Below are 18,852 nucleotides of genomic sequence, written 5' to 3' on the forward strand. Positions count from 1 at the left end.
TTTTCTTATTACAAGGTGGCCTGTGATGTAATACCATAAACTAACTTTCATCACCAATTTTGCTGTGATTTGATTATCTAAACACACTTCCTCTGTTTTGAATCTTTGATATGGCACATTCTCACAGTGCATGACATCCTCCTAAGATGATTCATAAAGAATTAAAAGTTAAAGTATTATGTCCCACAGATCACACGATCCCAGCATTCCAGAAAAAAAAAAAAAAAGCTTAATGCTTATTAAAAGATACAGGTTAAGTTTTAGGTAGGTTCAAATCATCCTAATATTTTTCTTGAGATTATGGGAAAAAAAATTTTAAGGAATCACCTGCAAAAATCCTAAAGAGAATGTGAGAGGGAGATACTAAAACCTATTTTGAAACCACACATCATTAAATCAGTTTGGTATAGATAGAAAAAGAGCAAGAAATCTGTTTATGATAAAGATGATGGTTCAAATTATTAGTAAAGAGGAACTACATTGTTCAATTCCCACCTATGAGTGAGAATATGTGGTGTTTGGTTTTTTGTTCTTGCGATGGGGATTATCACACTCTGGGGACTGTTGTGGGGTGGGGGGGGGGGAGGAGGGAGGGATAGCATTGGGAGATATACCTAATGCTAGATGACGAGTTAGTGGGTGCAGCGCACCAGCATGGCACATGTATACATATGCAACTAACCTGCACAATGTGCACATGTACCCTAAAACTTAAAGTATAATAAAAAAAAAAAAAAAGAAAAAAAAAAGAATGTCAGAAATTACTAGAAAAAATATTAAACAAAATAATATTTACTTAATACAGATAAGAAGTTTTAAATATGATTTATTGAACATTTCACCTTAGAGCTTCTCAGTCTTACCAATTTAGCCATTCTAATAGTTATAATGTAGTATCTCATTGTGGATTTAATTTGCATTTTCCTAATATCTGTTATAATATATACCACTTAACGTGCAAAAAAAAAAAGAGGAACTATAATAATAAATGGTATGAGAACTGTCAAAAAAAAAGTATACACTTATTTCATGCCTTACTTCAAAATAAATAATGGAAAGGTCAAATGTCCAAAATGGAAGAAAAAATGAAGTTCCAGAAGAGCAAATTTATTTGTAATTTTACAGAAGAGAAAAGGTCTTTGTAAACAGGATACAAAATCCAAGTCACAAAAGAGAAAAAAAGCGATACATTTAACCCCACAAAAAGTAAAAGACCATTGTAGAATAAGAAAATAAATGAAGTCAAGAGATTAACTGGGAACGATATTTGCAAAACATGATAAAAAACTGATTTCCCTAATTTATAGAGTTTATACAAACCAATAAAAAACAGACCAACTAAAAGAAAAATAAACAAAAGACATAAACAATCATTTTTCACCTATCCAAATGGCAAAATCTAAAAAGTCTGATGATGCCCAGTGCTGTTGATGGTGTGAGGGAACCATCGGTCTCATGTCTGCCAATGTGTGCCTAAGCTGACGAAACTCATGAAGAGAGTAATGCAGATATAGTCTCAAAAGTTGTCAAGGTATATGTACAAAGGTGATCACGACAATCCTGTTTAATTGCAAAGATGCACTGGAAACAAAATGTTTATCATACGGGAATAGTTAAATAAACATCCAGAAAATGGAATACTATTCACCATTTAAAAAGGGAAGAATAAATACATTTCAATGTGGAAAGCAAAGTGCAGAAGTGTTTACAGAACTTTTTAAGCGGGAAAAACAGATGAGTAAGTAAATTTTCAATGTTTTTCTGAAATTAATTACATGGACCTGTTGAGAATGGCTGATTTGTTCACAGGCATTGGGGAGGGGAGATCTTTACCTTTCAGTCCTAACTGTGGCATTTTAAAATCCACATCTGAATTAATTTAATTTTACTTTTTAAAAGTTAGGAGTTATCTAAATAGTAAAATTTTGGCCAATTTTTGTCTTCTTTATTCTTTTCTGTTTTAAAAACACCTAATCAATTTTATATTTTAAAGAGAGGAACCACATAGGTAGGAAAAATAGTCAATGGGATATTTTACTTTATTCAATACAGCTTTGCTTTTTTAAATAACAAGCTCATAATATTGTTATAATTTCTATCAGTTTTAATTCATTAAATTTTTAATTATCTGCACTAATAAAAGGAAAATGTTTAGAATCTCAAACCAAAACACTTTATATAGCCTATGTACATCTGAATGAACATTTATGTTCCAATGTAAAAAAAGATCTTCCTCTATTTTATATATTTTTTAAAATGACTAAAAGCATTAATAATTAGAAAAGAATCTATACTAATGTTTCTCTGTCTACTGAGGGCACCTGTATCTTATACAAGCTGACATATGCTTTCTGAATAGGTCACCAGCCCTTCTGTAGAAAGGGCAACACACAGTGATACATTTTTATAAGAAAGAAACTAATAATTTAAAGAAGAAAAAAAAGGGAAGCTGCCTAAAACCAATAAATGCAAAGTAGATTGAATCAGGACCTCTTTTAAATTGGCTATTTTATTAGGAAAGTGAAAAGTGATCTCAATGAGTCTTGGAATTTCTAAAGATTAGAGTTGATATCTTTCTCAGGTTCAAGAGATTCTATCCTTTCACATGGTGCACAATTGTTGCTTTTCAAACCTATTAGAGTGTCAACGGCAGATGTAATTAGAATGGAGGCTGGAGGGAAAGGAAACCACAGAGAAAGGGAAGTTAGAGACCAGGCTTCTATTTCACAGCAAGTGAAATAGAAGTACATGTAAACAAGAGAGTACATGTATCAGACCTGCTGAAGATTAAAAGGGGCTATTTATCAATGCAACTCACAAGCACTCACCTGTAAGCATGTTGGATCCTCAAAATCCACCAGAAAGCTCACCTTTTAGTAGTCTCAATGGATAATTACCATCCTGCTATGATTATTTTTACTATTTACTCAATAATATAGTACCCCCCTAGTTTCTGGCCTTATTGAGAAATGAAGGTCAAGGGTATGCTGAAGTAGTTAACAGCATGGGGCTTTTGAAACTCCTTCAGAACCCAAGGAAGTGAGTTCACATCTCAGCTTCACCACTTAAGAACTTTATGATCTTGAGCAAGTTATTTAATCTCTGCCTCTAAAATCTCTAAAATGGGGTTAACATTATTAATAATGCTCATGGCTTACTGTTGATAAGTAAATGAAATAATACCTGTATACTGCATCACAATCCTCAAATACATAAAATTTAATAAACATACTTTTTTCAAAATGTTACTTGTTTTATTTAAATAATTATGAATAGAAATCTCAATAATTTAGTTATTTTTGTTTCTTCCTAAGGCAAACAAACAAAATTTAACTTTTTCTGGACTGTGTAGGATCACAATTAGGAACATAAATTATAAGGTTAGATTATATGTGACCATAAATACAAAACATTCTGCAGGCTATCAGTCACTCTTATGGACACGTCTTGAGTAATGACAGTCTCTGATGAGAGTTTAAGTTTACAGAGATGTTTGTCTCTATACTAATTATTTCTGAATTGTTACATTTACAATTTTTAAAATACGGTTGCCATTTTTGTCTTCATTCACAGTCAGAGCTAATTAGTTGTACCGGCTTCTTACAAGCCTCTTTCTCGTTTTCTTAATTCTAAAGTGTTGTTAGCAAAAAAAAAAACCACTTTTAAAGCAAACTGATATGGTTATAAATACACACGCGCACACGCGCACGCGCGCGCACACACACACACACACACACACACACACCCCATGTAGATTCAGACAGTTCTGGGTTTAAAATCCAGTTATGCTACTTAGTTTGTGACCTTGTCAAGTTACTTCAGTTCTCTAAGCCTCAGGTTCTTCATCCTTAAAATAAGATTATTACTTATACTGAAACACTGTGGTAAGAAGCAAATAAAAACTTAGGTAAAACATCTTGCAGAGTGCTTTCCAGTACCTGACAATGTAAGTCATCCAGTCAATGGTAATTATTATTCTGTAATTAATGAAGTATGCTGAAATTATTGCTAAGTTAAGAATAAAATGAATTTCTTACCAGAAACATGATTTTAATGTGTAAAATTCCTTGGCGCTATGTTGGAGACAGAAAGATGAAAAAGAATATATTATCTACCCTCCAGGAGTTCAGAGCCTAATGAAGACACATGTAAACAAAATCACAGCAATCTGATGAGCAAAACAGTAAAAGAAGCAGCACTCTATGTGAAGTCAATCTTTTTCAGCCAGTCTCCCTCACTGCCCTTAAAATATTAATACTTTTGTGATTTCTCATTGCTTATTTTAAAAGGGCCAACTCCTCATCGGTATGGTGTTTTTCTGTTAGAGGTGATACTTACCCTAGGAGGGTAAATAGGAGTTTAACAGGTTGGGGGTTAGGGATTGAGGTGAGCAGACTTGGTCAGGGAGGATGAAAGAACACATGTAAAGATCTACAAGGAAGAAACAGGATGGCAGGGTCTGGAGCAGAGTGCTTAGAGAGAGGCAAGTGTAGAAAAGCAAGCCCAGATAATAGTGGCCTAGTACACCATACCAATGAGGAGCTGGCCCTTTTAAAATAAGCAGTGAGAAATCACAAAAGTATTAATATTTTAAGGGCAGTGCAGGAGACTGGCTGAAAAAGATTACATGCTTATATTCATGTTATTGAGAGATCCCTCCACCTAAACTGTGTAAACTGACCAGGAAGGGGTCAATTTTTGCTGCTTCTTTCCAGCCTGGACTATATATTCTTTCTTGACTATTTTCTTATAGTCAAGAAAGAAAATATAGTCCAGGCTGGAAAGAAGCAGCAACTGATCTAAAGTAGTAAGAAGAAAGGAGAGTGAGGAATGGATGAGGGAGACTAAGAAGGTAGTCTTGGTAACCCTCAGAAATCTAGGAAAATTTCCCAGTTTCCAGTTTGGACAAATGGTTGGGTCATGATACCATTAGTGAAAATGGAGACACAATAGGAATAAAAACAGTTTTTGAGAGGAAAACAGCTCAATTTGGAATTTGTCTGAACAGAGCTTATGCAGTCTGAAATTCAGGTGAGGCTAGAATTAACTCCAACAGGAGAACATAAAGGCAGAAATGTAAGACAAAGTCAAAAATAATGTCACCCAAAAGAAACATCCAGATCAAAAATGGGGCTATGAATATCTCTTATAGCTGCTCATGAATACCTTATTTTCTGGCTTTCACTTGTTTTCCAGCCGGACAACTGAATTTTATGAAAATGAGATGTTATTTATAATTTGCATACTACTATAAAAGTATGAATTTTTTTTCACGCAGGTCTGCTAAATATAGATGCTTACGTTTCCTGAAAACTGTGTCGAACTTCTGTACTATCATCCCAGGACTACTAAAGAGTTTAAGACCTGAAAGATGCCTAGTAAAAATGAATGAATTAACTAAATGTGGTCCTTAAGTCAGTCAAGAAGCCAAATGTAGTGTTGAAAGACTTTAAAATTGCTTCAGATATTGTCTTAAAGTTATACATGAAACATTTAATGTAATAATCTAAATTTTTCTCTAAATAATCTAAATTTTTCTCTCAATACTGTCTTTTCCATTTCAAAATACAATTTTCAGTGGTTTGGGGACTGTGAACTGACTTTTCTAAGTTCAAGAACTCACCTAAAACCAATGATTTAGGGATACTCACACTTCGAACTTTAATAGAGAAGTCAGAGGCAGGTAGAAAAGTGTAATTACTGACTTTTAAAAATACTAATTTATAAAGGAAAAACGGGTTCACACCTGTGAACCAGTGCTTTCACACCTGTAATCCCAGTGCTTTGGGAGGCCGAGGCCAGAAGATCGCTTGAGGCTAGGAGTTTGAGACCAGCCTGTACAACAAAGTGAGATCCAGTCTCTACAAAAAATAAAATTTGCTGGGTGTCGTGGTGTACATCTATGGTCCCAGCTGCTCAGGAGGCTGAAGTTACAGTGAGCTATGATCACGACACTGCACTCTAGCCTGGGCGACAAAGCAAAGACCCTGTCTCCGAAAAACAAAAACAAAAAAACCCTGTTTCCAAAAAAAAGAGGAGGAGGAGGGGAATACTAAAATGCTTATCTTACTCTTACAGGTAGATTCTTAGGTTAACAATATGAGAGATCTTCACAGGAATGTTGAGGAGAGTTTTTAAAATAGACTCTCACCCCTGAGAATGAAGACTAGACAGGTCTAAGTGTTTCTTTAGTATTTTCTTTGTACACACCTACTCAGATAGATGCACATTACAGAAACTCAAAAAGTGAGTGTTCACAAATTGGTAGATGAAAAATGTGAGTCAATAAATAAGCAGGGAAGACAGCTGTGGGGCAGAAGAAACTGTAATAAGGACCTGAAAGTATAAATGGGCACCGTAAGGGAGCTGAGTCAGTATAAACTTCAGTTCTTGTTATTATTTCTCATTAACAAAGTGAAAGATACTTTATGAAATCTTCAAAACTAAGAAAGGATAAAGCTCAATGCTCTGTACATCAGATTACATTACAGTTACAGTCATATCTTTTTGGATAGTCCAACTTTCAATACTCCCTTTTGCTTTTTCTGAATGTCTACCCTCCCTCTTATGCAAATTTTTTACATTAATGAAGAACAGGCTACGGTAGTAATATAGGGAAAATAATCAAATTGAACATGATAACCTAACCTAATTATAAAACTAATTGGAAATAAATTAATCCATCTTTATTGGCATATATTTTCATATAAATATTTTTGTGTAGTTGAGAATTCTTTGGGCACAATTTACCTGCCTGAATGTGGACCCTGGGAATGTCCTACTAGAAATCTTGGTATGATACGCTTTCACAATTAGATCTTAGACTGAGAGATAGTGCGTGGAGCAGTTAAAGAGTTTCAGTTTTGGAGTCAGCAATTTAGTTCTTGCTTCACAATTTACCATCTCCATAACTTTTCTTAAGTATCCTGCATCTCAGTAATCTGTAAAATGGGACCAATAATAGGACTTACTTCCCAGTATTCACAAGGATGACATAAAATAATGTGTCAGGAAAACACTAAATACATTGTGTTATTTTGGTAGCTGTAAGTTCAGTTAGTACTTAATCAACTTTTTGTATTTCAAGTATATCAAACAACCTAGGTTCCACCATGACAGGAAAACAAAAGCCCACTTACTTCCAGAGTATTGCAGTGTCCCACCACTGGTAAGTGTACCAAATAATTTCTACCTTTTAGCTTTATATTGAAATAGCCAATAAGTCAAGTTTCAGTTGGCTACCAGCTGAGAAGGCAGTGACGAGAAGACAGCCTGTCCTAAAACTCCACTGCAAAAAACTAAGCAGGTAAGCAGCATCCAAAAAGTCTAAATTGTAATGGCATTAAATAAAGTAAAAACCTTCAGCAGTTTGCCTTGCACAATCCTGTAAGTTTTAAGAAACTGCTTCGCTTACTTGCTTCCTAACACAGCCTCTGAAGCAAAAACCCAGGTCAGGTCCTATTCTTTGAAGAGTTAAAATCTAGACTGGGTTCTCACACTTTTAGAAGGTGAGCAAGATGCCATCCGTGGTTGTCATAAAATTATACTTGTTTTGGAAGATTCATTTTAGATTATCACTAAATTAAAATCACATGTTAAGTTCTCTCATAATTACAAAGGCACAGTTTCAGGATGGAAAGACAGGCTAGCTTGGAATTTTAAGTTTCCCACTCTGCCACAATGTCGATTCAGTTTTATATTTGGGGCTGAGGTTTGAGTTTGTCTTTCTTCATCATGATTTTACCCCCCAAATACACTGCCACTAAACTGCATTGCTATTTACTACACATGTAAGCATTTCAGGTGAAATCAGGGAGAAGAATGGAATAACTGAAGTTAACATGCTTGTTTAAAAACTATTCAGATACCTTAAACATTCCCAGATGCCAGTTGACAACCTTACCACTTGAAGCAAATATGTATTTGTTGTGGTGGGGGAAAGGAAAAAGGCCACACCCAAAGTTAAGACACCACAGTGAAGTGATACTCAGTTTCAGAATTTTAACTATTTCTATTTTCGGTACTCTTTTCACGGTCAATGAATTCTTCAACTTCACACCAGGCCGAGAGTTAAAAAACATGTTCCTCTGATCCTAATTACTTAGGTTACTTCATTTAGTAATGGGTAAGTCCAAGATGGAGAATTACCTCATTCAAAGAAAGGTTTAAGTAACTTTGGTGTAGAAGAGGGCCAAACTCAAATGATCAGTGCGCAGAAGAAACTCTGGATGAGCCAGACACCACTCCTCCCCTCCCCCAAGAGGCCAGGAAGTCAGGTAGCGCCTAACTGTATTAACGCAGCAGTTACCTGACACAGAACGCTACCAAGTTACCTGGACCCTTCTTTCAGTTTAGCTCCTCCCTAGACGCCCCTCTCTCCTTGGTGCCGCCTCCACCCAGGAAGTCTCTCCTCCCGCCCACCCCCATCCCCGCAGTCCAGCTCCCATCAGCTTCCTCAGCCTCATCTCCAGCCCACCTCCGTGTTCTCGCCTACTCTTCTCATCCCCGCTTACCTTGGCCACATAGTCTTTCACCTCATCCAAGTCTCCGTTTTTCAGGGCCCACATGAACTCCTTGTCGCACATCACTGCAGCGGGGCAGGCCGGTTGGCCGGGCAGAAGATGAGGAGGCGGTGGCAGCAGCAAGCGGATGCCGCCGGGCGAGAGGGAGGCAGGGCCGCGCGAAGCCGGAGAGGAGAAGAAGAGAAGGAGGGTTAGGCTGCCAGGCGGGCGAGGCAGTTGGCCGCGGCGACCGTTCGGGCGGGAGAAAGAAAGTTCTTTTGCGGCCACCGGGCCCAGCAGAGAGGTTCCGCCTGGCCGAGGAGAGGCAGGAACCTTTACACTTCCGGTTCACTCCCCGCTAGGACCCTCCCCCAACTTCCTCTTCCTCTTCTCCTCCGCGGAACGCCTCTCTCTGGGTCCGCGGCGCGAACGCCACTAGTGCGCATGCGCAATGTACAGGCTGCCGGGAAGGCTAGAGTGGAGGGTAGGAGCCGGCGACAAGTGGGCGGGACTGGGAGGCAGAATGAAGGAGGCCCGGGGGAGGTCAAGACAGCGAATGGAGGAAGAGTGAGAGTACTTTCGATGGGATTAGGACGCTTCTGCACCACCATTAATGGGAAAAACTTTACTTTTTAAAAAACATAATCTTGGAGGGCATCTTGCTCAGCTTCTAAAAATGTATAGGAAGAGTGTTTAATTTGAATTCCTTCTTCCTTGCCTTTTCCCCTTCCCTCCCTCCTTTTCACCCCTCCCTCTCTCCGTCATCCAGTCTGACTGGGCTAAAAACGATGGAATAACGCTATTCCTGCCCTCCAGGAAATCTTCAACACTAAAACTACAATGTAAATTGAGTGTGTTAACACTATGTATAATGTTCCCTGGAGCAAAAAACTTAAGTGTGTGGCAGGAAAAAAAAAATTAACTCATCTTCCTGACCAGCAAATGACGTCCAGGCATTCAGTTTGATGCCGTAAAGTGGAGCAAACCAAACTGTCTAGTACAATTTGCGTTTTTTAAATTTACTGTTTGTTTTTAATGGTTTGAAACTTCAGGACTGTTCTGGTGAAGTCAGTTCTGTTCTTCCTAGGGTTTAGTTGTAATGCCATAGTGCATAGCTACCACTTGAATTGTTCCTCACAACCCTAATGATCCAGGCATGCGCACATGAACATAGATCCAATAAAAGCTCTTATTGGAGCTAGAAATATACGTATAATATATATACATATATAACTATTACTATATATAAAACTCATATATATAATCTATTATTTGTAACCCACTAAACACATTAACTAAGCTACTTTACCACCATTGCCGTACAGTGTAGGGGTTCCAAACAGACTCTGGAGCCAAATTGTTTAGTTTGCGATACAGGTCCCACTTCTTGCTAATTTTGTGTCTTCTTGGGCAAGTTACTGAACCCCCTTCTGCTTCAGTTTTCCACTTGTGTAAAATGGGGATGTCAATAGTGTTTGGAAATGTATTTTTTTTTTTTTTGCTATCATTTAGAGTAGAATAGCAAATGGGTTTCAAATCAGAAGAAATCCCTCCAAATATTAACATCTACCTAGATTGTCATTTGTTAATTTTACTCCCTGATAATTAGAAATACAAATCCACATACCCAATAGTGATACGATTTCTGGAAACAAATCTCAAGGGGGAATTTGTTAGGCAAGTCCTAGAATCTCCATCTCTTCTCCAACACACTCCCACCTGTGTGATTTCTGAGTTACATCATGCTGAGAGCTCTTGATTTATATCTTTGGCCGGGTGCAGTGGCTCATGCCTGTAATCCTAGCACCTTGGGAGGACAAGGCTGGAAGATCGCTTGAAGCCAGGAGTTGGAGACCAGCCAGGGCAACAAAATGAGACACCATCTCTACAAAACACAAAGATTAAAAAAATTAGTTGGGTACAGTGGCGGACTTCTGCCTTCCCAGCTACTTGGGAAGCTGAGGCAGGAGGATTACTTGAGCCCTGGAGTTTGAGGCCACAGTAAGCTATGATGGCACCACTGCATTCCAGCCTGGGTGACAGAGCAAGATCATCTAAAAAAAAAATCTTTAACTAGACTTTTCCTATGTGATCTATTCTTATATTTAACTTCTTACTCATTTGGATTTCTCAAACTTAACATGTCCAGAATAGGATCTGGTCTCCTGTAGATGTTAAACCTAGTTGTCCCCCACATATCTCTGTAAATGGCGCTGCCAACCACCCTATCACTAAAACCAGAAACATGGGAGTCATAATCACTCTTCCCATTCTCAACTTTTCTCTTATTCAATCCATCAGTAAATATTTCAAAATATGTCTTAAATTTGTTCATTTCTTGCCATCTTCACTATTACTACTCCCTGCACCCTCACATATCCCCCATCCCTGTCACTGTCATCTCTGTCTACACTGCTATGATGCTATGTGCTATGATAGCCTCCCTGTTGGTGTCCTATTTTCACTCATCCTTTTCTAGATAATTCCCCACTTTGGGAGTTACTCTTTTAAAACTTAAACATGCACTTGTTGTCCTAAGGCCTTTCAAAGGCTTCCTATTGCAGGTAGGTTAAAATCCTAACTACTTGATATGGCCTTCAGGGCCTTCTGTGCACTGACTGCTGATGGTAGGTGATAGTATCTCCTATCTCATGACAGTCCCTTGCCACCCCCATTGTTTCTTTGATTTTGAAATATCTTGTCTTCTGTCAGTTTCAAGCTAAACCAAGCTCATTCCACCCTAAGGCCTTTATGCTTCTTGTTTCTTCTCTGGAATGTTCTTCATCTAAGTCTTGTTCACTCCATCTGACTTTTGAGGTTTCAATGCAAACCTTCAGAGAGACCTCCCAGACCACCCACTTTAAATAGGTCCTTCAATTACTTACAGGGCCCAGCTTTTCCCCCATTTACAGCACATGTCACAAGTATTTTAATTATCTTTTTTGTTTACCTATTTTGGTAAGTATTCATGGTGTTAAACAAATAATTCCTTTGTCTGCCATTCTGGGCACAAGAGAGAACTGCTCTTCCTGGCTTGTAGTTGAATAATATCATGTAACTAATTTTGGCCTATTAGTTATGAGCAGACGTGAAATGAGTCACTTCCAGGCTTGTCATTGTAAGACCCTTCAGAACTCTTTCCTTCTACTACAGCAACTAGCAACATGCAAGATAGTGGCTACACAGTCAGTCTGGGTTCCTGTGTAACTACAATGAGCAGAGCTCCCTCACTGTCCTATAATGGATATATAGGATGAATATGAATTTAACTTGTATTGTTTTCAGCCATTGAAATTGTGGTGTTTATTACTAGAGGAACACTGAACCAATCTTGACTAACACAGAAATTAGTGTCAGAATGGGAATGTTACTAGAACAAAACCTTTAAATAAATGGCATTGGCTCAGTGGCTGGGGAGTATACAACAAAGGAAGTGATAGGAGAAGCCGTAAAGATGGTGATTCATACTCACAGGAGTGAAACCTTTGGCAAAACTGTAATAATATGGGGAAGGTCTAGTAGTTCTAGAGGAAAAGGCCAGAAAATGGAAAGCTGGTGGCATGTATCAGTAACTATTGACTATATAAAATACTGTTACTGGTGGAGGGTGTCCAGGTTCTTGGCACTGTGAACAAAGAATTGGACAAAATGCACAAAGCAAGGAAAGAATGAAGCAACAAAAGCAGAGATTTATTGAAAATGAAAGCACACTCTGTAGCGTGGGAACAGGCTGGAGAAAGTGGCTCAAGGACCTGGTTACAGAATTTTCTGGGGTTTAAATACACTCTAGAGGTTTCCTGTTGGTTACTTGGTGTACACCCTATGTAAATGAAGTAGTGGCCCGCAATCAGTCTGATTGGTTGCAGGAGGGGAACAATCAGAGACTGAAGCAAAGTTACAGTTACACCCTATGCAAACGACTAATTGGTTGCAGAAAGTGATGAATCAGAGGCTGAAGTGAAGTTACAAAGTTATACTCCTATGCAAAGGAAGACTTGGCCTGTGACCAGCCTGATTGACTGCAGGAGGGGACCAGTCAGAGGTACTTACAATTTTTTATCTGACACTCAGAAAAGATGGGGGTTGCAAAGGGAGTAGCCTTGAGTCCATTTGTTACTTAGGCATGGGAAGTTGGGGTTTTCCTTTTGATTTAGTTTTAGGAAGTCAGTGTGAATCAGCCTTAGATGATTAAAAAAGATTTAATTAATCTCCGTGCCTCCAGACCCTATTCTCCTGTCTCAATACTACAGGAAATGATGAGTTTAGAAAATAATTGTCCAGCTTGCAGTTAGGAAAGAAAGTGATTATAGGAAGCTATAAACTTGGAGACATGCACGTTTAGAAGATGCAAGTGATTCTCATTATTATTCATTAAAAACAAAACTGAGATGAGCAACAAAGGTTGATTAGAACTCAACCTCTTGGCAAGGATCAAATTACGGGTGTGATAGTCACACCCATGACTAAAACCTCCGAATAGATTAAAGTGGTACCCCATGAATCTTTTCAGTTGAACAACATGGCACAGGTCTTCCCATGACAGAGCTGGATAGATTCAAGGTACCTACAAGAAAGAATTAAAAGAGAAAGTTGTGACTTAGTGCAGTGGAGACACACACAATCATGGTATGTGGAGCTAGCTTGAATCAAATATGGAAGAAGCTGGCTAAATTTTTGAGAGACATGCCAAAATAGCTATCAGTCAAGACTAAAGGAAACTGTAAATAGACTCCAAGTGGGAGTGGGGCTTCAACCTTCTGTGGACAGAGTTGTCTGAGAACGCTGCTCAGACTTTAAGGAGATCACATTTTCCAGTGCTCACTTAAGGACAAGGAGGCCGGGTATAGTGGCTCATGCCTGTAATCCCAGCACTTTGGGAGGTCGAGGCGGGTGAATCACGAGGTCAGGAGTTTGAGACCAGCCTGGCCAACATAGTGAAACCCCATCTCTACTAAAAATACAAAAAATTAGCCGGGCATGGTGGCAGGTGCCTGTAAAATCTCAGCTACTCTGGAGGCTGAGGCAAGAGAATCGCTTGAACTTGGGAGGCGGAAGTTGCAGTGAGCCGAGATCACGCTGCTGCACTCCAGCCCAGGTGACAGTGCAAGACTCTGTCTTCAAAAAAAAAAAAAGAAATAGATAAGGACAGGGATAATGTGGTGCAAACCCAAAAGTATCTGAGACAGGTCCTCAATCAATTTAGGAGTTTATTTTTCCAAGATTAAGGACATACCTGGAACAAATGAACATGGAATCGCAGAAACAGTCTGTGATCTGTGCCTTTCTTCAAAGATGATTTTGAGAGTTTCAGTATTTAAAGGGGAGAAGTGGGCTGGAGGAGAGAAAGGGAGGGTATGATAATCCACATGTTGCTAGAGAAAAGGAGCAGGTAGAGAAATAGTCAATTGTGTATTTGTCTCATACTCAGTAAACCAGCATACTTTACATAAGGTGAACATAAAGAAGCTACCTGTGGAGATGTTTAACCTTTTATCTGTTGCTATCTGCTTAGGAACAGAAAGGAAAGTCAGCTTCTTGCATGACTCAGCTTTCAGCTTAATTTTTTTTTTCTTTTAGCATTGTGAACTCGAGTTGTTTTTATTTTCCTTTCACATTTCGCTGCCCTTTTCTTTTTAAAATCTTTCGGAGAAAGCATTTTAGAAGAAAATGAGTCTCTGGTTTTGTCTGATCTCTCATGCCTAGGATAGTTTATTCCTAGAAAGACAGGTCCCACATTGTTAGGAAAGCTCATTTTTAGCAGGTTGTAAGGTCTCGCATCCCACAAAGAAAAAAAAATGGGAGAGGAAGAGAGAAAGAAAACAACAAACAAACAAAAAGTGAAAACAGTCTTGGAAAACTGATATAGGCCATATTACTCTGAAGTCCATACATCAGTAGGCAGGTATAAAAGTGGTTTATGTATATAAATAGGTTGCTGTTATTTTCTTGCAAAGTTTAAGTTGTCTAGCTTCAGTTTGCACGGCTTTAAGAAGAGCACAGCTTCATTCCTAGTGATTTCAAGTCAGGAAAAATGGACAAAAAAGGAAAAAGGGAAAAAAATTGTAAACATTATTTTGGAGACTTATAGTCAGGAAAAATTTTAGAATTCAGTCTAAATTGTGGAAAATAATAAAAATCAGAAACATTAGGCAAGACTAGAATCTAATAACAGGTGTACTATAGTTTGAAATGTAATTTTTCTGTCTCCAATTTTCAAATTTTATTAAAGACAAAATCATAGTAGGACCAATTTATGTTTCAAATAAGTTTTAGTTCTATTTACTTGGCTTGATTATTTGCATAAAGTTCAGCAAGAATAATCATTTGCCATGCAGGCTCTCTCTTTCTCTTTATAAAATTGGCTTTGCTGGAAGCTTTTCATAAGGAATCTAAGATTTGAACTTTTTAAAAGCCTTGAGCCCAGCTAAGAATTTACTGTGCCTGCAGATACCTGTGTGAATTGGGTGAATTACTCTTTTTTCAAGGTCCCAAGAAAACCTGAGTTTCCTGGGCCTGTCAGAAAGTGACATTCTTTACTTATCCCAAGTCAGTACGCTGCAAATAAAAATGTATGATCCCAGGTTTTCCAAGGCGCTTTTATTGGCTTTATAGGTCAGCCTCATTTTCTCAAGGCCATCTGAAAATGTCATTACAATCAAAGTCTTGATGAAATCACCAGTGTCTCCAATTATGTCCTGTTATAAAAGAAAATAGATTCTTATTGAATTTATGCAAAGAACTACATTGTCATAAACTAAGGATATTCACCAAATAGTTTCCAAATTCTGAAGCAATTGCAATGGAGTTGTTTTAAATTTTTCTTATTAGAGTATACTTTACTCAATTGTTAAAAGCTGTAAACAGCTTAAAGAAGAGAAAACTTTCTTGACTCTAGAAAACAAAACAGGAAGAATCAGCAAGTGTTTTAGACAAAAAGCCATAAAAGAGGATTTCAATCTTCTGTTAGTTCAGTCCATGCAATTAATTCCTGTTCTGCTCGATATTGGATCAGCAATCCTCCTGAATACATCAGCTCTCCATGAGAGTTCTGGGAGTTTTCTTTCTCTTTATTCCAATGGCATATTTTCTAAAGATATTAGAAACCTATATTTAAGAGTACTCCTCAGAGTTCTATAGCTGATTATAAACCACCCTATAAAAGGATGAAGTAAAACAATCATGGATGACAAAAGTCTTAGAACAGCCATGGGTAAAGATACAAATGACAAGGAAATTTGGTTACTTCTGTGGCATACAACAGTTTTACATAGCAATTATAATTATTACTGATAATATATACTAAGACATATCAGAATCTCAGGAATCTCATACAATTTTGGAACACATGCTAATGACACATTTATATAAATATAATCAAGCCAGGTGCAGTGGCTCACGCCTGTGATCCCAACACTTTGGGAGGCCAAGGCAGGTGGATCACTTGAGGTCAGGAGTTTGAGACCAGCCTGGCCAACATGGTGAAACCCCTCTCTGCTATAAATGCAAAAATTAGCCAGGCATGGTGGCGGACACCTGTAGTCCCAGCTACTCAGGAGGCTGAGGCAGGAGAATTGCTGGAACCCAGGAGGCAGAGGTTGCAGTGAGCTGAGATCGTGCCACTGCACTCAAGCCTGGGTGACAGAGTGAGTGAGACTGTATTTCATAAATAAGTCAATAAATAAATAAATATTATCCAAAGAAGTTTAAACACCATTTTATATTTGACAATGCCTCCTGTATGATTTTATTATACCAAATAAGCTGAATATGTCTCCTTGGGACTTCAGGGGACCTAATATCAAAACATTAATGAAGCCAAAAGGATTGAATTTATCATTTGATTTTGGAAAGTCTGTCCGATATTAAAAGTTTAAAACTCTTGGTATCACAAAATAGAGTCACAAGTCTTGTAAAATAAGTCATTTATTTAGGCAAAGTGATAACTCAAAGATTTCCAAAAAAAAAAGCAAAAACTTTTATTCTTTGAGAAAGGAAACTTACTTTCCCAAACAATAAGCCCTAATAAAGACAGCATAAGGTGATTAAATCTGTCTCTCAAATTTCATAAACAAATCTATTAAATTTTATTTTTTGGTGTTTTTTTTGTTTGTTTGTTTTTGTTTTTTTTGTGAGACAAGGTCTTTCTCTGTTGTCCAGGCTGGAATGCAGTGGCATGATCTCAGCTCACTGCAACCTCCACTTCCCAGGCTCAAGTGATCCTCCTGCCTTAGCCTCCCGAGTAGCTTAGTCCTGAATAGCTGGAACTACAGGTGTGTGCCACCCCACCAGGCTAATCCATTACATTTTAATCATCTTGACCATAAGATATAATTTCTATAAACCTTGTAATAACTTTTTTTTTTTTAATTAGAGAGTGGGTTAATGCTCCAAGAAAACCTTGTTAATCTGACACAGGGGCTCAGATGCTCATCTTGCATCGTGTGCCATTGATATTAATTTTTAATTTACAGAGAAACTTTGAACTAATTTTCTCTCCCAGAATCAGCCCTATAATCTCACACACTCAGTGTGAGATTTCACACTAGTTCCTGGGCCTAGAGGGGTTGAATAGTTTTAACTTCTGACTCTGTGTCTCATGAATGCAGTTTACTTTGATTGTCATATTCTCTCAGGTCTGAAGATAAGGCTTTAGCTAATGTCAGTGCTTGCAAGAATTAGCAAGACTTGGTGTCCGTTTTAGATCCAGGAGTCAAAGCCCTGTAACTTAACAGCACAAAGAGTTTAAAAAGAATACAGAAAATTACATGGATGTAATAACCTTAAGTTTTTAAAATCTCAGTTTTCTAGGACTTGAATAATTAGGAAGAGTGTGGCCTAGGTCATAAGGGAAAGTTTTTTATTTAATAGAAGAGTTTAAAGCTAAGAGCACAGAATGTTATGTTGGAAGAAAACATTTTCATTAGATCTTTGGGATAAAACATTTTTAGCATCAGGCCACAACTACAGTTAGAACCTGAGGAAAAAAATTATAAGAGCTCATGAAAAAGTTGAAGGAGAGAGTTATTGTCTCAGGCCTTCTCAAAGGGGAGAGAAAGCCAAAAACAGTGAGACACAATAAAAGTTGAGCTTTTGGGTTAAAAATGTTAAAATTTCTTATAATTTTATAAGAATAAATTAATACTTTAAGAAAATTTTGTTTTTCTAAACAATTCTTCAGTTTATTAATATATATTTTTAATATTAAAGGCCAATCTCTAGAAAGACTAGTATAAATAATTTCCTTTTTTAATTATAGCCAACTTGATCACATAAAGTTTTTTTTCATAATTTCTTTATACAAACCTTATTATGACTTACACAAACCATTTATAACATGGTTGGACTTCCGGTTTCATCCCACTTTCTTTAATAACCAGTCATTTTATTTTGGGACAAAAAATTCATCACACAAGATTCTTTCTCATATAGAATTTTTTTCCTTTTAAGTTTTCTTACTAAAAAACCCCCTTTATATTCATAATTTTCTTTACATTTCTCTTATTTACTGGTTCTGTTTACCTTGTTTTATAAATAACCTTTAAATAATGTTTGACTTAGACAAAAATTATTTTTTTAATAAGAACACCTCTTTTTTTTTTTTTTGTTTCTGAGATGGAGTCTTGCTCTGTGACCCAGGCTAGAGTGTAGTGGCATGATCTCGGCTCACTGCAACCTCCACCTCCTGGGTTCAAGCAATTCTCCTGCCTCAGCCTCCCAAGTAGCTGGAATTATAGGTGCCTGCCACCATGCCCAGCTAATTGTTTTTTGCATTTTTAGTAGAGATGGGGTTTCACCATGTTGGCCAGGCTAGTCTCGAACCCCTGACCTTGTGATCTGCCCACCTTGGCCTCCCAAAGTGTTGGGATTATAGGTGTGAGCCACAGTGCTCAGCCAATAAGAACACTTCTTTTAGAAAAATGGTTTCCTATAATGTAATTTTTTAAAAAATCAGAACTGACCCAGACATTTAATACATATTTATTATCTAATTTCAGATTCTAAGGTATATTACAAGTTTATTTACAAGCATTTATTCCATTACATTTGCCTAATTAATTTTTTAGTAGTTTACGTAGATTACTTATGAAAATTGTGATAGTCATCATTTGAAGTTATTTCCCTGTTAAACATTTTTATAACCTGTGAATTTCAGGTGTTTATACCTAAGTAAGAACCTTAAAGTTAAATAAATGTGTGTATGTGTGTGTGTTTTGCAAACAACTCAGGATTTAGCTGTTTTCATTAATCCAACAATATTAAATGCCTTATTTATCAAAAAATTGCACAAAGATAATTTCCTTTTCAGCTGCATTTATAACTTTATAAGCATCATGCAAAATCTTGACACCTT

At 37.3% G+C, this 18,852-nt stretch overlaps 1 protein-coding gene and 1 long non-coding RNA gene across 5 annotated transcripts in view; one reads left to right on the forward strand and one right to left on the reverse strand.

Moving 5' to 3' along the window:
• MTPN (myotrophin) overlaps positions 1-8,844 on the reverse strand; it is a 50,600-nt gene extending 41,756 nt beyond the window's left edge. The window contains exon 1 of the mRNA NM_145808.4: positions 8,514-8,844. Within this exon, the coding sequence (NP_665807.1) occupies positions 8,514-8,585 (72 nt within the window). The 5' untranslated portion in view covers positions 8,586-8,844. The remainder of the gene's footprint in view (positions 1-8,513) is intronic.
• A 3,587-nt stretch (positions 8,845-12,431) lies between these two features.
• Positions 12,432-18,852, forward strand: part of LOC105375523 (uncharacterized) — a 459,019-nt gene continuing 452,598 nt past the window's right edge. For all 4 annotated transcript variants that reach the window (NR_187954.1, NR_187953.1, NR_187955.1 and 1 more), the window contains exon 1: positions 12,432-12,543. This is a non-coding gene — a long non-coding RNA (uncharacterized LOC105375523). The remainder of the gene's footprint in view (positions 12,544-18,852) is intronic.

Source organism: Homo sapiens, chromosome 7 (assembly GCF_000001405.40).
Source record: "Homo sapiens chromosome 7, GRCh38.p14 Primary Assembly".
Classification (NCBI taxonomy): Eukaryota; Metazoa; Chordata; class Mammalia; order Primates; family Hominidae; genus Homo; species Homo sapiens.